General features: G+C 38.2%; 2 long non-coding RNA genes across 4 annotated transcripts in view; one reads left to right on the forward strand and one right to left on the reverse strand.

The window, feature by feature from the left end:
* Positions 1 to 349: 349 nt before the first annotated feature.
* Positions 350 to 10,805, reverse strand: LOC124902126 (uncharacterized). Its single transcript, XR_007061426.1, has 3 exons — positions 10,716 to 10,805; positions 9,469 to 9,628; positions 350 to 4,771 (listed from the first exon to the last, which is right to left on the reverse strand). It is a non-coding gene; the product is annotated as an uncharacterized LOC124902126 (long non-coding RNA).
* Positions 5,263 to 22,930, forward strand: part of LOC105375983 (uncharacterized) — a 37,147-nt gene continuing 19,479 nt past the window's right edge. For 2 of the 3 annotated variants that reach the window (XR_001746629.2, XR_001746630.2), the window contains exons 1-2: positions 9,589 to 9,980; positions 11,433 to 11,507. This is a non-coding gene — a long non-coding RNA (uncharacterized LOC105375983). Of the gene's footprint in view, positions 5,413 to 9,588; positions 9,981 to 11,432; positions 11,508 to 22,930 lie in introns of those variants that run through there. The other variant, XR_001746628.1, reaches the window with a different exon arrangement.

The following is a 22,930-nucleotide window of genomic DNA, read 5'->3' on the forward strand; positions in this document are numbered from 1 at the left end:
TATTATTATTCTGCTGCTATCTTTTAAAAATGTACTTTACCCACATATTAGAATAAGAAATAGGCTTCTGGTATGTATTAAAGAAAAGTAATATTATAAAGTGTATTTTGCCCTATAACAAAACCTGGTGACATTTCTGGTTGGATTATTGTCACAAATTAAAAACAAAACAAAACAACAAAAAAACCAGAAAACACTGGTTAGATTATTCCTGAGCTCTCAGAGCAAAAGCATTCCATAGGAAGCCAAGAAATATAATTTTAGTTGAAGTATAATTTTCCAGCTGTTGCAAGTAGGCATATTTTGGCATGTTTCAGAACTAGTGAAATGTAAGGAAATATTAACCAGATGATGGTTGAATCTGTTTTTATTTTTAACTGCAGGGAGACAAGATTTAGAAGCCGCCGATTCTTATCTGATTTCACAGTACCTTTGCCACAAATAAAGCCAATAACTTAGTGTCATAAAATCCTAATGACTCTCTAAGATCCTTGGGGCATGTGCATATGAAAATGACTTTCAGGGATCTGGACACATCTCCTTGTTTTTCATATTACTTTTTGAGATCAAGAAAAGATAAAATGTTAAAGTGTTCTCTTTCATTCCACATTTCAAGTAAAAATCTCATTAAGTGAGCAACAGCTGAATATGAACCAAAATCACCTGCAAGTCCGAAATTGATCATATTTGCAGAAAACAGCCCAAATTAGACCCATCTGAAAAATGGTCCCATCTATTCACAGTCCCAATCAATAGGACCTTCATCCATTTCGTAATAGCTGAATATAACACCACTCGCAGAGGGTAGAGCAAACCCATTTGGCAGTTTGTTGAAGTCTCTAGTCTTCTCAATGTTTTCAATTCCCGTTTAAAGCATGTTTATGAAGAATTTTAAAAATACATAATATTGCAAAGGAAATCAATTACAAAAATATAGCCATCAAAATGTTAAAAAACAATTTTGTACAGTAATGTGCTTTCTCACTAATGCATTGAATAACAAGATCTAGCAGCAGGTCTAATAACTACCATAATTTCAAAATAGTGATGAGTATAAACAATATTTTTAAAATATCTATACTAGCTGTGTTGTGTTATGAAAATATCTGTGATTTCTCTTAGTGTCAACATCACAGCTACTGCATATGCTAATATTGCTTACCTGTATTATTTAAGAAATGTGACTTTTCAGTTAGAGATTAGTGAAAATATTAACATATTAGTCTTTCTGTTTCAATTTACCAATGCCCTGAATTTGAGCCCTGGTATAGAGAATGGACCTAATATTTCAATTAATTTCTCTGTGTCAGGCACTGTGTCAGGCCCTATGCATTCACTTACTTCATCTCACAGAAGCCCTTTGAGCTGGGTAACATTGACCCCATGTTACAATCAAGGAATCTGAGATTCAGGTTTCTTGCCCAAAGTCTGGAGTTCAAACCCAGGTGTGATTGGTTCCAAATCCGACAGGTCGCATATCTTTCTGTTTTACTATCCTATTTCCCAGTAGAAAATCTTTTTTTCTTATTAATAATCTCAGGCAAAAGCTTTAGCTCCTCTGTAGCAACTACCTAGCTCTTTGTTTTATTAAAATGAAGCATGTGTGTGTTTCTTCTAAGTAAGTGTAACACCTCTGTAGGAGTCCATAGACGATACATGATAAACTAGTCACATGTTTATCAATATTCTAACTAAACCGAGTTCCAGCTTTCTGGGCTACAGCGTTTTATTTCCTTCTTCTCTAGTTCTAGTCTGTGTTATCTAAACGGAAATGAAGTTTGGCATTTGTATTCCCCCAAATGATGAACTTCCTTACCTTATGCTGACAAAAAGCTCTTTCATTTCATTCTCCTTCAATAACCAGCTCTCCATTTGCAATGTGAGTGGGCAGCTCTGCCCCAAGAAGACCTCCACCTTCCCCAAGCCAGAAAGGGAGCCAAGAGCTGTAGCACCATCCTCCCATAGTTTCCAACCTCAGCCTAGCCTGAAAGACTGTGCTCCTTCTAATAAGAGGCCATTCAGTCTCCCTGGGCTCATGGGGAGGCTCCTCCTGATCAGAGGCTGTGGGTTCTAAACAGTGCCAAATTGTGTGGGGTGGTTTTCCTTACTATGTACTACTGTCCACTGGGGATGGAACTGAGACCACTAAAATAATTCTACGTGGTAGTCTAGGTCTAACTCATGTTTAAGAGAAATATTTGGATACTTGGTGTATTTTAACTTCTGGATGATACTCTTAGCAATTCCCTGATGAAGTAGTTTATGTAACTTAGAGGAATTCTAAACATGATAAATGTTTCACACACACATCTTGATGTCAAGGATAGAATTTATCCAATATAAGAGCAGACAAGTTTAATAAACCACTTAAGTGTTATAAGGCATGTTTCATACTGCAATGAATTATGTCCCTATCTGTGGTTCAATGTATATGTTCTATCATTTTGAATATTGAATTAAAAAAAACCTGTATAAATAATGTGAAAGGTCTGATTTAAAGCAACAAATGCTAATAAAATCAAATTGAAGGCTGACAGAACTTCAGTAACTCACAGATATTTCTTAGGAAAGGTATAATAGGGAAGGTATTAAAGAGGGCGTCTTGATATTTTCTTTAATAAGTCTGTTTGAAATCATGTTGAATATCCAGATTTTTCAAAGGCAAATTCATTCAATTTGTAGAACTTTAAACATCCACAATTATATCTGGTTCATGGCACCTGTTTTAATAATTAGGTTTTCCAGAAAATATGTATTTCCAAAAAATTGATCTTTTAATTGAGTTTTCATATGACAGCACTAGAGATATTCCTTACACTTATGGAGAGTTATATTTCTGCTAGAAGTTCCTGTAAGAAAAATTATTTAAATCAAACCATTCTGATTTTTTTTTTTCATATTGAATCAATAGCACAGCCATGTTATACTGGTTGAGAACCTGAAGCCCAGCTTCTTAAAGAAATGATCTCAGGTAAAATTTATTTTAGAATACCTTTAACAAATTGGGAGTTAAGAAAACATCTAATCAGAGTAAGGATTTGAGAAAAAAAATCTTTCCTTGATCGCAAGCAATTTTGAGAATATTTTTGAGAGACCCAGGATCATTTGATAAATTTTCAGGAAAATTTATCAAATTTGATAAATTTTCAGTTTTGTTGCCTTCTTGTTACTATCACAAATGTCCCTGTGGCTAGGATGGGCCTTAGGGGACAAAGTGTCAGTCCTTTTACTGCCTTCAAGAAACAAAGTCTTTCTGCTCTCTGGAACTGCCACCTCAGCACCTGCTGCTTCATCTTGCACCCTGATGTTATATAAGGCATCACTACCTTTAAAATGCATGAACCAAGCCTTATTTGCATTGAACTTTTCAGCCTTTGATCCTACATCACAATGTTGTTTCACCATGTAGAAAAGCTTCAAAGCTTTGGCTTGAGTAGTAGCCAAACTCAAAGCTAAATTAGATCCTGACTTCACAAAATCTTAAATCTTTTCCATCTTAGCCTCAAATCTTGTAACTTTATCTGAATTAATAATGGACAGCAACCATTGCTAAACTACTTTCAGTCATTTTAAGGACCAGGTCTGTAGTATGAATACCAGTTTGAACTAGTGAGACTAATGTTTTCAAGAAATGGAACAGAATGGACACTTACAGAAAGGAGTGTTACTCTGGAAAGTAGTCTCTTTGGGAAGTCATATACTTAGTTCAATAATGATCTTATTTCTCAAAACATTTTTGGAGTTATTCTTTTGGCTTTCATAGAGAGAGAGAGAGTACTGTTTGCAAAGGTAAACAAGTTTTATTTCTTTATAGCCAAGCAGGTAAAAGTCTCAGGCTGCAAAATCCTCTGTGCAAAAAACAAATATAACATTATTCTGTAACTGAACTTAATTTCAATCATATTCAACTCAGGCTACCTTTGGTCAATTATTTATTAAGTCTGTTCCGGAGTTTTTTTTCCCCCACCATTTTCTCCCTGAGTTGCCTCTAAGTTCTGGGGCCTTAAGTCATCATACTTTGATGTCTATCAAGAGGGGGACCTTTGTCCTCAGAAATTCTTGTTTATTTGTGATGGCTCCTATTGGCTTCCGGGCATAGTGATCTATCCTTGCTGGTATCCTCAAGATGGCCTTGTTCTCCTCTGGACTTGTGTTTCCAGTTCATACAACTTTCAAGACTGCTAGACTGCTTGAGGTCACTCCAGCCTTGTCTTTTGCATCCCTCTTGAGGTGAGAGGACAGGGAAGCACAGGAAATATTTGGATGCCTTTTTGTGCTGCTCTGGAGCTCTGGGAGACTTGACGGAGCTATGCCATGCCCATTCTGCTCTGACGTGCTCAGCAGGCCCCACCTTTACTTTCTCTGCCTGTGACTGGTGGAGGTATAGAGAGAGAGCAAGGGGAGGCTTGTTGCTCCTTCGGTTCCACTAAGGAAATGAGGCACAAGTCTCCCTTTGTTTGGATCCCCACCCTACCTGGGGAATTCAGCATTTCTTTGGGGGTATGTCACACCTTCCACTTAGATCATCATGCATCATTTTTCTAAATCTATTGCTGCAGCATTAACTTTATGCTCAGAGTCTTTCAGGATTTCTACTTTTGTCTTTCTGAAACCTTTCTCTCAAACTCTTCTCTGCCATGAGTTTCAAGGCATCACAATGTAGTGGTTAGGAGCATGGACTCTGGCGTCCCGTGTGCTGGGTTTGAATGCTGGCTCCACCATGCACTGGTTTTAGGGTCCTGGACATGAGTCTGTGCCTTGGTTTCTTCATCTGTAAAACAGGGGTGATGATAATAGTGCTTACCTCATGGAGCTGTTATGGGAATTAATGAGTCTATATTTATAAAGCACTTAGAACAGTGCCTACCCACAATCAACATTGCATATTATTAGCTGCATTTGTAAAATAAATCCATAAACCTGAAAAGCTGAATATTAGCTCTTTTTTCCTTTGGTGCCTAATGCTGCCTGAGTGGGAGAAAGGCCAGGGGTAGGAGGAAAATTTGAAGAGTGATACTGTGATAGTTAATTTTATATGTCAACTTGACTAGGCCATGGGATGCCCAAATATTCAGTTAAACATTATTCTGGGTATGTCTAAAGGTGCTTCAGGGTGAGGTTAACATTTGCAGCAGTCGACTGAGTAAAGCAGATTGCCCTCCCCAAGTGTGGGTAGGCTGCATCCAATCCACTGAAGGCCTGAATAGAGTACAAAGGTGGAGTAAGAGAAAATGTGCTCTGCGTTACCATCTTCTCCTGCCCTTGCATTCAGACTTTGACTGGAGCTTGAGTCATTGGCTTTCCTGGTTCTCAGGCCTTTGGACTTGGACTGGAACTGTACCATTGGCTCTGCTAGGTCTCCAGCTTGCCCATTGCAGAAAGTGGGACTTCTTGGCCTCTCTCTCTCCGTAGGTATGTATATATTCCTATGGGTTCTCTTTCTCTGGAGAGCCCAGATAGATGTATAAAATAATATTTCAAAATATTGACCAGCCTCAATCATCTCAAAAATCTCTCTCCCTCTCACCCTGTATCTCCTTATTCCTCTCTCCTACCCTCCTTTTTATTCATTTTCTTCTTTGCTCAGCTTAGTTTAGCTGACTCAGGCTAAGAGGAGTAATAAATGAAGGAAAGCCAGTCAGGCCAGACTAAGTTGGAAGTTTGAGATCACTCATGATACAGGTATCTGTAGCTTATAATGGACATGGCCTGACAGGATCTTATCCCTGAAAATTGTGGATGTCATCAGCTTATTACATAGGAGGCAATAATAGGTTGTGCCTATTCAGAGTTATCACCATACCCAGCATGATAAGAATTGATTGTGTTAGGCATATATTAATTTCTGATTTTTGTATTATATATTTTTTACTAAATAGGAGATTTATTTTCAGCAGACACTTGAGATAAATTATGTGATTTATTTAAAATATACATTTATTACTGGCAATTTCAAAATTGCTCACATTACAAGTTTCAGGTTCATGAGATCCTATTTGTCAAAAAATATGGTATCATGTATTTTATCTTGCTTCTGTGATTTACAATGAAGACTAAAATTCAGAATCTTCAGTGTCCTAACCCTCTTTCTAGCACTTTATCTTGTTATGGTGTTCGGCAGGTCACTTAATCTCTCCTGGACTCATGTTCCCCATTGGTAAAATGAAACCATTAATAATATTTGCCTCCTACAGAATGGTTGTGAAGATTAGTCAGTTAATATTTGTAAAAACTCCTTAACCATGGAAAGAGCGTTATCACTGCGGACCATTAGAAAGGGCACTGCCCACATTTTCCTTCTATAGAATGGTCGCTCTTTAAAATGTCCTTCAAATGAGCCTTGCAGATCAACAAATTTAGTGTCTGTGTACTCTAAGTGGCTACTTTAAAAACTTTTTGTAGAATTTTTATAAAAGAATTCTTGCAGAAAAAATTTCAAAGAGTTCCAGTATATTGTTATAATTATTCTCCTTTTAAAGATTTTTTTTTTGTGGTGCTACACATTTATATTCACACATACACATACACTTAACACATTCATGTATTATGTAGGTGAATGGTTTTCTGTTAATATTTGTAATGTACAGTGTGGCTTTGTGTAGATTAGCAATTTTAATTATTTGCCTTACATGTGTGGTGCCCGATTTTTCCAGAACCCATAAAAGGGGATTGTTAATTTGAACTTTTTTGCCTTTTTTTTTTTTTTTAAGGACTAGGACTCATAGGGACAAAATAAAATAAAACATATGTTTAGGTCTTTGATACAGGGAAAAAATGGCATGGATGACCATTATTCTGTTCAACCTGGAATCATGTAAAAATAACAATATAGATGAAACTCTCTAAGACAGGTTTTGTACTTGGATTATCGCATTCCATTGGAAGATACTGCTAGATTTCAGTGGACAAAGTACAAGAGTGTTAATTTTCTTATTCCACAGAGGTTTTTGAGTATCCAGGGGAGATTGAAATGACAAACCCAATAGTTTCCCTAATTCCATTATTTACTGTTTTTCTAGTCCACTACATCGAAGCATCCATGCAGCATGCTCCCATCTAAATCACATCAAATTAAATTAAGGAGGCAGCAGGGGCACATCATATTTTCCCAGTGATAAACATTATTATAATTGCCCAGTGTTTATTGAAAGGAAAATTTTCAATAAAATGTCAAATAATACTAGGAAGTGATCACAATATCTTGAGTTTGGAAATGAGGAAATCTGGATAGAAAAAAATACTGAGCAACCACTTTACTGCTAAGTATATTTTTCAAGATAAGAAGATAAGAAAGATTTTGAGTTTATAAACGATACTAAGAGAAGGTTGGAAGACATCCACTGCTATAAACCCTCTGGAAGGATGAGTCTGAAACAGGGAACAAGTGAAAAGAAGAGTCAATGGCTTGGAATATGGATGTGGCCTAGGAGGGGGTAGTGGCGAGTGACATTCTTTCCTAGGTGACTGGCAAAGTAAGAATTACTTATTTGAACGTGGGAGTCTACAGTATGCCAACTTTTATATGTTTCCTGGGAAGTTTAAGAAATAACTGGATAAAATCCTTTCTTCATTCAACTACAAATCCCGGAGATACCAGGCAAGAATGAGGCGAGGAAAAGAAACAATATTTGAATTCTTTACTCTCTGGGAGATCAATGATCACCTTCTGAACGTCCTTCCTCCTTTGCTCTCATTATCCATCATTCGGCTTAGAGACTTGGGGAATGGAGAACCATGAGTATTATTTTAAAAATCCTTTTCTGGCTGCTTATCCCACTTTCCCTGCGAAGTTTCTCATCCTTTCCTTCCCTCCCTCCCTTTGTTGTAGGAAAATCTGGGTTCTTGTCACACAACCAGCAAAGATTAGGCTCACAAACGCTTTGAAGGGTGAGGGGGATGGAATTTATTGGGCAAAAAGGAAAAAGGAAAAGCATGCAGCAAAGTGAGAGAGGGGTTCCTGTTAACAGGACATCATCTCACAGATTGAATCCCAGGTTCCCACACAGGAACAGGAGGGACCAGGCTCCTTCCCCCTGCAAACAGCATGAACTTCCATGGCTCCACCCTGTTCTTCCCATGCACAGGCCGGTTGGAGGTTCTCCAGGGACCCCTTTATACTTAGGTGTCTTGCCTGCCTGCCCTGCCTGCCTCCCTCCCTCCCTCTTTCGAAAAATCATTATTATTAGTTTGAGTACATACATACAAGTATCCCAGAACCTGCCAAAATGCAGTATAAATGTTACCTAAATGTCCCATCTTGAAAGGAACTTTAGAGAATTAAACTTTAACATGGTTTTCTATCAACTGTGATTTCCTTTTTAGAGATTAGCCTACTCTTCTTACCCGAAGTTTTCATGGTATTTTTTAAACCTTGACCTTGGAAATTCTGATTTCTACCCTGCTTGAAATAATGTAAAACTTAAAAACCCACTCACAAATTTTTGAAACTCAAAAATCATGAGTTTGATCTGATTCACGTCTTCTACAATACAATAAATTTTTAGGTGAAAGACTGATAAGGAGGAAAATGTTGTTTCCAGGTTGGTCAGAACTTTAGGAGGATGTATTTACTGCATTTTTCTACCTATACTCATGTCAGATGTACATACATACATGAGACTAGTAAGTGAGACCTGTCAGAAGAACTCAGAGAAACAGAGTAGCCCTTCCCTTCAACGTGGTTTCTATCAACCATGATTTCCTTTTCAGAGATTGGTCTACTCTTCTTACCTGAAGTTTTAAAAACATAAACAGAAGACCACACTCCCTGAAAACAATTGCCTGACACTGATTATTTTTTCCTGAAACACAAGTCTGTAGGAAAAAAAAAACAAAATACCCAAAAACGAAAAAAAAAATAAATAAATAAACACCACGCTCCTCATCTCAATTCTAAAGAAAAGTCTCTGCGTTGGCTTGGAATTCTGTAAGCTCAGCGTCCTCCAGGCCAGACGGAAACATGAGGCTTCAAATGTTTCTAGAGCTGGCTTGGGTCAGTCAAATAAGTCTCTCAGAAGTGGAATAATTAAGAATAAGTACTTTGAGAGTGCATTCACATCTTTTATCACTTAGACGTAACTAACGGTTCCTTTACAGAGCCATCCTTTTTCTTTTCCTGAACGTGTAATCTGACATTCATTAGGATGAAAAAGCTTAAAATGTGTTCCTGAATGAATAGCGGTTCAGAATTCAGAAGAGGAGACCGGCTTTCACAGAAATGTGCTGATTGTTTAGTTGTAAAATAATGAGTCAAGGGAACAGGGACATATACTGTTCAGTCCAGCTCATAGCGTGTGGCTGCCAGCTCACCAAAAGAGATCACATAGTTTGGCCCGGCAAAGGACCAGACCACAGCCAGGGACTGCAGGGGTAGTGAGGAGGGCATGCGGCTGAAACATACCAGCTCCAGCTCTGCAGAGCCCAGCAGCGGGATCTGGGAGACGCTGCCGGACAAAGAGTGTTCATTACCTTCCAGCCAAACCGCTCTGTGCTCCTCGGAGCCAGCCTTCTTCTGAGCAAGGCCCTTAACACCCCTTCTTGTTGAGCTGCCTCTGCTCTCCCTGGATCCTCTTGGCTTAGCACCTCTCCAGCCCCTCCCAACTGGACCTCTCCTGGGACAGCATGTGCTCTGCATGGAATAACAAGGTTAAATGGACAAGGCTGAATGGCCCTGTGATGGGGAGTGCCTTTAAGCCACATGACGGAAATGAAACAGGAGCCATAATGACCATGACTGGAGGAGAATCAGATTCTGGCCTGGCCTGGTTCTGTGAGATACCTTAAATCATACTTTCTGTAGCATCCCTTAAAGGTGGGTAGAGAGAAGGAGAGAGTTAAGTGTGGGTGCAGTCATCCTCAGGATGGTTGATCTCTAAATCTATTCTTGGGCAAAAGTTTAGAGAAAAGCTGAATCACTCAGCCCAGAGGAAGCCTGAGGAGGCATAAAGAAGTCTTGGAAATCCCCTGAAAAAAAGAATCAGGTAGAGTTTGATTTTTGTCTTTGTTGTCAAATTTTTGGCTCAGTCACAGTTGCAGCAACATGAGAGGTTCCAGGCAGAAAGGAGCAGCCAGTTATTAGGAGGTGGAATTTTACACATGGTAAAACCTGGTGTAGAAGCTAGAAAAAGGAGAGCAGACAGGTCTAAGGAAGTGCTCCGGTCGGGGAAATCAGAGGGGAGCCCCAGCATGGGCCAGTGGGTCACCGTTCTCAGCAAACAGGGGTATGAAACTCAGAAAGTGGTTAGGTGTACAAAATCACCTTAATGAACCAACCTGCAGGCAGGCAGCCTCAGTGAGGTTGCTGAAGAGCTTGAGTATTGGAAGGTAAGGCAAGGGAAAGCAGTTGCTCAAAGCAGACTCCAGGAAGCTATAAATGCTGTAATAGAAAAACAAAGCGGCAAGTCACAGACCCTGCAAGCTTTGATAAACCAGGTGATCGGCAAGAACTAAAAGCTGGAAACTGATGTCAAGTCCAGATTTAGGGAGTGGCTGGGAGTGAGACCCAAGGCAAGCTAAGCTGCAGACTTTGGTGGTTCTTCCAAACAGGAAGATCTTGATCCAGAGGCAACTTTCACTCCAGCTAGGAAGCCTCTTAGATAAGATAAGTCTATTACTTTTTTTTTTTTTAACAACAAATATGCTATGCAAATAAGTTTTGGGAAATGATACATTATTCTCCATAACCTCTTACCTGGACTATTGCAGCAGCTTCTTACCTTGTCTCCCTGCATTTGTTCTTCCTTCCTGAAAGCCCTTTGCTCATACAGCTGCCAAAGCCATTCTTCTAAAACACAAGTCTGGTCATATCTCTCTGTCTAAATCTTTCCACTGGCTGACTATTATCATAATTTCCCAAAGTGCTTTAGTGAATACAAGTTCTGTGAAAAGCATGTGAAGTAATTAGCCAAAGAAGGATGTGTAGTCAGATAAGTTGGGAACTCTACAGGTTGCATTCCTTTTCTTAGAGGTTTCCAATGGAGATATGCATTTTAAAGTCTCTGAGAAGTCCCACAACAACTTATTGAATGATAAATGTTTCAACAATTTGTTGAAAGTAATTAAAACCCAATACTTTGCAGGCAGTTTTAACCATGGGGCACCTTTTCTTTTTCTTTTTTTCCCATAAACTTTATTAACATTGATTGGAAATACTCTGAGAAATACTGAACTATGGTGGGGGGTGGGGGATCCATCTTGCTTAGCATGAAGTATATACAGGTCTTTTTGATGTGGCCTCTCCCTGTCTGTCTGTGCTGTTCATCTCTCATCAATCTTCTTCTTGGGTTTTATACTCTGGGAAAACACAGCAGACTGTTGTTCTCACACATATCACTATGTTTCAAATGTTTATTCTTTTTAATAAAAACATTTTCTTTGCATCTTCCCTAACCCTTATGAGTAAAATGTTTCTTATTTTTCAAAATCCTTTTCAGATATCACCTCCATAGGAAGCTGTCTCTCTGCTTTAGAGCAAGAATCAACAAACTTTTTCTGTAAAGAGCCAGATAGTGAGTATTTTAAGCCTTGAGACTCACACAGTCTCTGTTGCAACCCCTCAACTCTGCCATTGTAAAGCTATAGCAGCTACATACAATCCATACATAAACGGGCATGGCTGTGTTCCAATAAAACTTTATTTATGCACAAAGGCAGCAGGCTTGATTTGGGCATGGCCTGTAGATTATTGACCCTTGCTTTAGAGTTACACTTTATACATTTATCGCTGAGGCAAAAGTTAAGTCTCTAGATGTGAAAATCCGTGGCTTCCAAGTGAGAGCAGTATATGGATGTAGTTAGTTAGACTGGACACAAGGTTGGTGATACAGGTGAATCTGCCTAATGTAGCATATGATACTGCTTAGAGTTATTTTATTTTTAATTAATTAATTTATTTATTTTTGAGACAGTGTCTCACTCTGTCACCCAGGCTGGAGTGCAGTAGCGCAATGATAGCTCACTGCAGCCTTGACCTCCCTGGCTCAAGTGATCCTTCCACCTCAGTCTCCCGAATATCTAGGACTACAGGTGCACACCACCACACCCAGCTAATGTATTTTTGTGTGTGAATACAGGGTTTTGCCATGTTGTCCAGGCTAATCTCAAACTCCTGGGCTTAAGCGATCCACCCACCTCCACCTCCCAAAGGGCTGGGATTACAGGTGTGAGCCACATAGCCCAACCTAGAGTTATTTTAGATTCTCGTCATCCCAGTTAACTGAAAGAACTGCCTGCTAAAGGTAAGGTAAAATTAGAGACTCTTCTGTAATGTTGGTTTAGGAATCAGCCCTTGAAAAATATTGCTAAAGGCAAAAATGTCTATTATAAGTTGGCTGAGATATTATTTTAAGGGAAAAATTATGTCTAAAGTGCTAAGCCTTCATTAGCTGCTTAAAGAGAAACTCTACTCTTCTGAACTGCTGTCTGGAAAATAAAGTGAACTAGAACTGGTACATTAGCAAGAGAGAAATGTAATGGGCCCAGTGAAACGTATTGCCCCATCTGGGCCACAGTGCAGGATTGGCTGATGGGGATTGTCAGTGTTTGGGGGACAAGAACGGGGGTGAATCGGAAAGCTGGAAGAGAGGTGGATACCTGTCCTGGAATGGAAGTGACCAGAAGACATGACCAGGGGCTGTTCCTGGGGAAAATAGTAGGTAGGAATCTCTGGTTAAGTAAATTCAGGAAGTGAAATTCATTAGATGTCTGAGATTAAAACCTGACAGGAACAAACAAGCCATGGTAGGGTTTAGACAGAGGGGATTGCAAGGCATTGCATCAGAAGGCTGAATCCCTTTGTAATGGCAGAGTTTCAACTCCACAAAATGCTCCTTTTTGCCTTCTAGTCCTAACTTTCTGTATTGCCTGGTAATGGTGAAAATGGTGAATGACTAGCTATACATTAAATGTTCAGGCTCCCTGTCCATGGTATCCATGGTACAGAATTATTACAGGAACCTAATTTCCCAGCCTTTCTTGCTCATAGGTGGAGCTATGAGAGTAAGTTCAGGCCAATGGAATGTAGGTGGAAATGAATTACATCTCTTGGGCCTGACCCATAAAATCTCCCACTGGCTTCTCCACTGTTTCTCTACTCCATCTGCTGACTAGATTCGGGCAACTTCAGATATCATCTGTTAAAGGCAGCAAAGATTCTATAAAACTCAAGTCTTTGATGGATTCTGTGGAACAGAAAGAATCCCCTATCCATTCAAACATGTAAAACTACCAACATAAACTTCTGTTGTGTTAAGCCATTGAGATTTCAGAGTTTATCTATTATGGGAGGTAGCATCTGCTTGACAAGTACAAGCAGAAAATGAGCATTGCTGTAATAATTAAAGGAGCTCCACTCTATAAAGCAATTCTAGATAAGAACATGGAGCCCACTGAACCAGAAAACATAAGGAAGACACGTTTCCAAATATGCCATTATTTCCAATTTTCAATAAGTGTCACTTGCTTTAACAAATCACATTTTTGGAAATAAATTTTTATGTGTGTTACCATCTCTACTGTCAAATGAATCAACTGAAATATGACACTTCTTCTAGAAGCTTTAGGAAACAAACACCCAGAGGAATAAAAGTTTTAAAAAACGTAAAACCAAGCAAACGTGGGGAACATAGATGCCTCATTGCTCAAACCCAAAAAATGAAGTTAAGCCATTTATTTCCAGGTAGAAAATATCAGGAATAAGCCATTTGAACAATATGAGAACACAATTAGCCGGACCAATTATATTGTCTAAGGGACCGTTATCAGCAGGTTGATTTAGAAAACTACTCAATTTGCTTATCTACCTGCCAAAAAAGTCGTGGTGAAACTCATTTGAAAAGTAATTTAAATTTTTTTATTAAAAAATTTCATCTCTATTTTTTCTTCATAAAGGGGTCATTGGAACAGCATGATTCTTGAGGAAAGGTTTTCCTAGGTGAGATTATGTTTGTATCTTTATCATGAAGAAAAAAAAACCAGAATTGTTCATAAACTATGTGATATAAAATTCAGTTTGATCATTAAAGACAAGCTGTTCAGTTATAGATAATCAATCATAGCTTATTAGGCCACTCTGGATAAACACAACTTTGAAATGTCAATTAAATAGGTTTCCTAAGATATCCATTATTATAATGACACTAAAAATTATGATCATTTTCCAGGATTGAAACAGCGTAGTGTGGTAGTTAAGAATATAATCACTTTTGTTCATCAGGACACCTTTACAGAAGCGAAAAGGCAAAAGAGAGTAATAAATGATAATTACGGCAAAGGATTATTTGAGATATATATTTTCTTTTTTTTTTTTTTTTTTTGAGATGGAGTTTCGCTCTTGTTGCCTAGGCTGGAGTGCAGTGGTGTGATCTCAGCTCACTGCAAACTCTGCCGCCCGAGTTCAAGCGATTCTCCTGCGTCAGCCTCCTGAGTAGCTGGGATTACAGGTGCGCACCACCATGCCCAGCTAATTTTTTGTATTTTTAGTAGAGACGGAGTTTCACCATGTTGGCCAGGCTGGTCTTGAACTCCTGACCTCAGGTGATCCATCTGCCTCAGCCTCCCAAAGTGCTGGGATTACAGGCATGAGCCACCATGCCCAGCCAGGATACATATTTTCTAATAAAGGATTTGTGACAAACGATTTATTTAGGATATATAAAGACTTTTAAAACTCAGCAAAAGATGAACAACCCAGTAGAAAAATGGGCAAAAGAGGCTGGGCACAGTGGCTCACGCCTGTAATCCCAGCACTTTGGGAGGCCGAGGTGGGCAGATCACGAGGTCAGGAGATCGAGACCATCCTGGCTAGCACAGTGAAACCCCGTCTCTACTAAATATACAAAAACAAAATTAGATGGGTGTAGCAGTGGGTGCCTGTAGTCCCAGCTACTCGAGAGGCTGAGGTGGGAGAATGGCGTGAACCCAGGAGGTGGAGCTTGCAGTGAGCCGAGATCATGCCATTGCACTTCAGCCTGGGTGACAGAGCGAGACTCCGTCTCAAAAGAAAAAAAAAAAAAACAGAAAGAAAAATGGGCAAAAGATTAAAACAAGGCCCAGTGCGGTGGCTCATGCCTATAATCCCAGCATTTTGGGAGGCCGAGGGCGGGAGGATCACTTGTGTCTAGGAGTTCGAGACCAGCCTGGGCAACACAGTGAGACCCTGTCTCCACAAAAAAAACACAAAAATTAGCTGGGCATGGTGGTGCATGCCTGTAGGTTGGTAAGGTGGGAGGATTGCTTGTGCCTGGGAGGTCAGCTCCTTGGGAGGCTGAGGTGGGAGGATTGCTTGTGTCTGGGAGGCTGAGGTGGGAGGATTGCTTGTGCCTGGGAGGTCAAGGCTGCAGTGAGCCATGATTGCACCACTGCATTTAGCCCTGGTGACAGAGTGAGACCCTGTCTTAAAAACAAAAGAAAGTGATTTTCTTAACGTTGCTGGTTATCAGAGAGATGTAAATCTAAATCACAATATTATTATGCATCCAGCAGAAAGGCCAAAAATAAAAAGGCAAACAATACCAAGTGTTGGCGAGGATGTGAAATAACTGGACCTCTCATATGCTGCTAGTCAAAGTGTAAATTTGTATAAACACTTTGAAAACAATTTGATGTTTTCTAATAACATGAACATACACATGCCCTATGACCCAGCAATTATACTTTGAGACATATGTAATATGCTCAACAGAGAAATGTACATATGTGCACCAAAATACATGAATAAGAATCTTTATGGTAGAATTATTTTTCATAGCCCCAAACTGGAAGCTACTCAAATTTACCTCAACAGTAGAATGAACTGTAGTCTAGTCATATATTACAATACTATACAACACTAACAATAACATGGCTAATTCTTTACACATGGCAGGTTAACTTTTATAATCATAATGTTGAGTAAAAGAAGCCAGACCCAAAAGAAAAAATACTGTATAATTCAATTTATTAAAAAAATGAAATTAACCTGTGGTGTTAGGAGTCAGGATAGGACTTTTTTTCTGGGAGGGGATAAAAACTAGCAGGGGCACAAATGGAGGTTCTGGGGGCTGTCATGCTCCATTTCTTGATCTGGGTGCCAAGTGGGCTTACTTTATGAAATTTATGAAAATTAACTTAGCCCCACACTTATGATTTGTGCACTTTTCTCCATGTTGATTAGAAAAGGAGGAAAGAGTGTAGACGTTGGTGTCAAATTGCCTGGTTTCATATTATAGCTTTACTCCTTACTAATCAATGTCCTTGGGAAATTTATTTTACCTTTCTTTGTCTCGGGTTACTCATCTGTGAAATGGGGATTATATGATTACCTTCCTTTTAGACTATTAGGAGGATAAATGTGACCATGCACCCAAAGCTCATAAAAGAGTACTGGGCACATGTTTAGCATGTAATAAGTGTCAATTGTTGTAATAATTATCATTAACTCTCAAGAAGACTGGTTGATAAATATTATCTTACAATGTCACTTTTTCCAAGGTAAGAATAATTAGAATAACACAGAAAACCATTCAACATTTTTATTTTGCCTTAGTGTTTTTTAACTCCTTGACCTTCAAAAATAGGGAGTTTCTCAAAACCAACATGGACAACTCCCAAAGCAAAAAGAAAATTCATTTGAAAACTATGGTGTAGTCTGTCTCAACTAATATAAATATTATTGCCACACAAAGGACATCTGTAAGTAGGTACAGTGCCTGAGAAGAAGAAAAAAGATCAGGTTTCAATTATGTAAGGCATGAATTCTTATTTTAAAATGGTCAGTAATGCAATGCTCATACCTCAAGATGGAAGGAATTAGTCAATTTATCCTTGTGTGCAATGGGGTATGATTTTTTATTATGTAGATTTTAAAATTCATTAATAACATTTTAAATTTTTACCCTTCTGGTATACTAAGTTTTTACATCAGTATATAATCTAATATTTATAAGATCTCTACTATATTTTTGTATTAACCCCGATCTCATTTGTACACAAATTCATCCTGTGTTTGCTTTTATATAAAAAATTGGTTCAGAAAATTAAAACCCCAAACACCAATATTAGGTTAGGAAATTTAGACCATAACTTGGACTGTTTGTAATGTTAGTAGTTGATTTAGAGCTTTTGAAACACTGGTGTCCATATTTAAAATTAGGAAATTTAGTGTTATATTTCTATACTAACCATGAGAAACTTACAGTAAAAAAATCTCTTAGGCTTCGTGTACTTCCATCTTCCATCATTTGCACTGTGTGATAACTGTGTTTGCTTCAAAAGTTTATAGTCTGTTACTATTTTTCACTTTCTGTCAATTTTTATTTTCTAAGTGGAAAACCTCAAGAGGAAGGGATCATGTCTGTATTGTCAATTATTATATTACCAGTGGTTAGAACAGTGCCTGGAACATAGTAAGTGTTGAGTAGATATTTCTGGTAAAAGTGAATTAGTGTGAGAATGGGAGCTGTTCAGCCAAAATTCTTAAAGGGCACATGGCTCAAAAATAATAAATTGAAAATATAAAATGAAAATAATCAGGATTTTGAGTTCAGATTGATTTGTATAGTCTGGTGCTCTAATCATAGGAAAAACAAGGAAATTACTTCAAACGGTTCACAGATGTGGGATTTTCTTCATACTCTGATCTCTTTAATGTGACTCGAATGAGAGACTTGATGTGAAATAATCCACCAAAGGACCTTGGCTCACCAGAGAGAAGAGTGAAAGGCACCTTTTGTCTTTTATTCCAAGTCTGGAGGTGTCATCGTGGACAGACATAGGAAGGATGGCTTCACAAAAAGTGTTTCCCCAGGGTAGGCTGTGACAGCGTGGGGCAGGGAGTGGCCAGGAGGCCCTCAGTGAGGCTCCTTCAGAACTGCCTGTCACTTCCTATGGCAAGAAAATGTGGGCATGCTCACCAGAAGGATTTTCTGAACAAGGGCTATAGTAAAAGAAAGTTTTTTGAAATTATAATGTCTTGATATTATCTAATTCTGGGATATTGTGTCTAATCAAGGATTTCTGGTAGATTCTAAAAGATAATTTTGGAATTATATTATCACAGTGTTTCTGGTGTCCCAGGTAGTTCCAGTTTTTCCAACAACATAACAAAGTTACTTATGACCACCCAGGTCCTCTCTTCTCTTTCCCCGTTTCCCACTCCACTTTGGAGAGAGAATCAAACACCTATCAGAAATATGCAAAAATAGTGCACAGTGTTGCCATTTCTTTAAATTTGTTGATATTTATCCTTTTTCCCTGAAGTTTATCTTGCCCTTCCATTATTTTTATTGAGGCATAAAATACATAACATAAAATTCATCCTCCCAACAATTTCCAAGTGTACAGTACAATAGTCAACCTCATGCACTGTATTGTATAACAGATCCCCAAAGCCCCCCATCCTGTGGGACTGAAATTCTATATCCACCAAACAGCTCCACTCCCCTCCCCAGCCTCTGGCAGCTACCAACATCTTTTTTTGTGGGAAGTAAGAAAAAGAAAAATTGTGTAACTAGCAATGAATTTTTAAAATTCTTTTTTTTTTTTTTTTTTTTTTTGAGATGGAGTTTTGCTCTTGTTGCCCAGGCTGGAGTGCAATGGTGCGATCTCAGCTCACTGCAACCTCTGCCCCCTGGGTTCAAGCGATTCTCCTGCCTCAGCTTCCCAAGTAGCTGGGATTACAGGCGCCCACCACCATGCCCGGCTAATTTTTTGTATTTTTAGTAGAGACGGGGTTTCACCATGTTGGCCAGGCTGGTCTCGAACTCCTAACGTCAGGTGATCCACCCGCCTTGGCCTCCCAAAGTGCTGGGATTACAGGGATGAGCCACCATGCCCAGCCTAAAATTCTGTATACATTTTCTCAATTATGAACATAATATATGCTGTTTTTCATAGTTCAAATAATACAGATGTATATAAAGAAATGTTAATAATCTGTCTTATACCCCTCTCATCTAAGCCCCTTGAACTCAGTTAACAGCTTAATATGTAAATATCTTTCATATATTTCTCTATGCTCATAGAAAAAATGTTTATTAATATATAGGGGCTTTCCTATTTCTTAAAAAAAGAAATAACCCTATTTACATTTCTCTGCAATATTTTTTCATTTAATATAACATGGAAATCTTTCCAGGTAGATATACAGACTGTAAGTTAATATTTTAATAGACATGTAATACTACAAATATGAAGCTATTGTGATTTATTCAACTGTTCCCCTATTGATGGATATCCAGGTTGGTACCAGATTTTTGGTCACTGCCAATGATGCCATAATAGCTGCACAGACACACCCATGCCACACACACCCAGTTTCATGTATTAGTCCTTTCAGTGTTTCAAGATAGATTCCCATTGTTACATTGCTGGATCAAAAGTTGCACACACTTTGAATTTAATAGATCATGTTAGGTTACCTTGCAGAAGACCGCAGCAATTCACAAACACATCAGAAATTCGTAAAAGTGTTGCTAATCATTAAACAATAAGAAATGAAAAAAAATTAGCCAGGCATGGTAGTACACGCCTATAGTCCCAGTGCCTCAGGAGGCTGAGGTGAGAGGATCACTTGAGATTGAGAGGTGGAAGCTGTAGTGACCCATGATCGCACCACTGCACTCCAGCTTAGGTGACAAACCGAGACCCTGTATCAAAAAAAAAAAAAAAAAAAAAGTAAAAGATATACCACTATTATTCATGTTTAAATTGTGAAATATATATGCAAAAGAGAATTTATAATACAAATGTACCATTAAAGGAGTTATTATTTTCAGAACTGTGTGCTCCCACCCAACTTGAAAAATAGTTCATATTCTAAATGAGGTTCAGCACCACCTCCCATCCTCCCTGATAGTGTTAACCCTACTCTGATTTGTTTTCTTTTCTCTTATATTTCTTCATACATTTTACCATATATGTATGTATCTGTACATAGTATGTCATTTAGTTTTGCACATTTTGAGTTTTATACACATATGTGTATAAATTATACACGTATGCATTCTGTGACTTGCTTATTCTACCTGACATTATCTTTGTGGTATTCATGTGATGTGTGTAACTATAGTTCATGGGTTTTCACTGTTTTATTATGTATGAATGCAACCTATCTCAAATTGGTGGACATTTGGGATGTTTATACATTTTTGCTATTGCAAACAGTGGCACCACGCACATTTTTGCCTATTTCCTGGTACTCATGTCCAAAAAGTTTCCTATGGCAACAGTTCTCAAACTTTTTGGTCTCAGGGACAATTTATACATTTAACAATTATTAAAGACTCCAAAGAGCTTTTGTTTATGTCAGTTTATTAGGTTGGCACAGAAGTAATTGCGGTTTTTTTGCCATTACCTTTAATTTAAAAATATTTATTAATTCATTACAAACATAAACACATAACATGTGAACATAAATATTTCTAATTTAAAAACAATGTGTATTTTCCAAAATAAAAATACTTAATGAGAAGAGTGGCATTGTTACAAGTTTTTGTAAATCTTTTTAATGTCTGGCTTAATTGAAGACAGCTGGCTTCTGTTATCAGCTTCTGCATTAGTCCTTTGTTGTTTTGGTTGAGATGTAGGGAGAAAATCTGATCTCACACAGATATGAAATTGGAAAAGGGAGGAACATTTGAATAGCCTTTCCAGATAAGTGTGGATATTCTTGTCTGACCAAAACTTGACAAATGGTAACTTCTTAAAGGCTAGATACATTATAGAATTTGAAATAATATGAATATTTATACTCTTTTACGTTAAAATACATTGATCTGTCTTGTACTTTGAATGAACATTTTACCCATGCTTGATTTTGTAACATCGTATGTTGGTCAAAATATTGGTTAACTGGTAGTTATGCAGGTGTTCTCAATGTTGATGTAATTCTTTATACAATATCAAAAACCACATTTATTAATGTTATTACCAATCTCAATAGCAGGGCCAGGACTAGGGGGAGGCAACTGAAGTTGCAGAATTAAGAAGGAACACACTCTCAGGGTCGTGTAAGTACTAACCCTGTGCTTGCGTGACCCTGTAAGTGAGGCCTCCTTTAGAATGACCTTCCTCCCCAAGAGTGAAACATCTTTAAATTTTGTGCCCAGGCATCTCTCTTGCTTTACTCCTAGGCCTGGCCCCCCTCAGGAGAAAAATCTCTAAGAATGGGGAAGCTGTCATGGTCACAGTGGTACACATTTAGAAAATTCTAGAATTTTCTTAACTACTTGAATTTTATCGTTGACAACAAATAGTTGTTTACCTTAAAATGACAGGGTCACTTTGTTCATTTTTGAGAAAATGTCTTCTAAATACCGAAGTCTGAAGATAATAGTTTGTCTGTGAGTCACACTTTAAGAAAAAATGATGTTCTATGAAAACAAAAAACAGAAAGTGGCTAGTTCAGCTTGCAACTCAAATAATTTCACAAGTACTTTTCCTGGAGATGATCATCATGCTTCTTATTTATACACATGCTAAGGAAGTGTTTTATGCATATTTTCCATCTTGTCACACACACTATTAAAAAAGATCTGCTCAAAGGTCAAGTTTAAAAACATTAATAATATTTACTTCTTCATCAAGGGTATTCTTAAGTGAAATTGCCTTTGGTTTTTAACTTCAAGTGTGAGGTTGGTGAAGAATACAATAACTGCTAGCACAATTTCATGCCACTGCAAATGTCAACATAGTTGTTCCAGGCTAGATGAAGGGATTTTAAAAGTTATTTGACACTTTGGGTATTTTAGCACAACCGATCTCTACTCCCTAGCATGCACATAAAATAAGATGTTCAATGTTTAGTTGGTGCCAATACTGGACAGATACAAGCAAAACAGTCACATTTGTAGATTCATCCATTTATACGACAAAAGTACAGTTTGACAAAGAGTAACCCAATCTTCATATTTCTAACTGAATCATTAATTCAATGAGTTACTGTTTCAGGAGAAGGTGGCAGTGTCATGAATCAATTTACAGCTTTTTATCCAGCAGGTATTCAGCAATTCAACTGTTCCAGGCTTTATTTGTTCTCAGTTGTTGTGTGGACTCCAGCTCATGTTGTATGATGACTTTCCCTGTAATATACCTCAGGGGCTTTTTCATTTCTGGTTCAAAATGCTTTGTCAAACAATCTTTGGCTTTCGAAGTGTTTCATTTATTTTTCTTTACACTCTGATCGATTGGTCTTAAAATGAGGCTGCAACCAGCCAGGCGCAGTGGCTCATGCCTGTAATCCCAGCAGTTTGGGAGGCCGAGGCAGGTGGATCACGAGGTCCAGGAGATCAAGACCATCCTGGCTAACACACGGTGAAACCCCATCTCTACTTAAAAATACAAAAAAATTAGCTGGGCGTGGTGGTGGGCGCCTGTAGTCCCAGCTACTCGGGAGGCTGAGGCAGGAGAATGGCGTGAACCCGGGAGGCAGAGCTTGCAGTGAGCTGAGATCGTGCCACTGCACTCCAGCCCAGGGGACAGAGTGAGACTCCATTTCAAAAACAAACAAACAAACAAACAAACAGGCCACAACCTAACTTGCATGAAAATAATATTTTAAAATATTCTGTTGCCTAATACATAAAAAGGTAAACAATTACCACCCGTACAGTGGAGGGAAGGGAAGATAGCTTCATTATATATTTTTTCTCTTTCTTTCTTTTTTTTTTTTTTTTTACAGTTTCTCTGTTTCTTTGGTGTAGATATTCTCCTTTCTATGAGTAAGACAGCTCTCTGATATGACAGTCTCATATTTTTCAGCATTGCAAGTCATAGATGGTGCAAATGTGGATTAAATAAACAAGCCCTTTAATTTCTGTTTTTAAAAAAATGCTGGTAAAATACACATAATGTAAAATTTGCCATCTGAACCATTTTTAAGCATTTGCTCTAGTAGGACTAAGTAAATTCACATTGTTGTGCAACCATCACCACCATCTGTTTTCAGAACTCTTTT

This window comes from Homo sapiens, chromosome 9, assembly GCF_000001405.40.
Source record: "Homo sapiens chromosome 9, GRCh38.p14 Primary Assembly".
Classification (NCBI taxonomy): domain Eukaryota; kingdom Metazoa; phylum Chordata; class Mammalia; order Primates; family Hominidae; genus Homo; species Homo sapiens.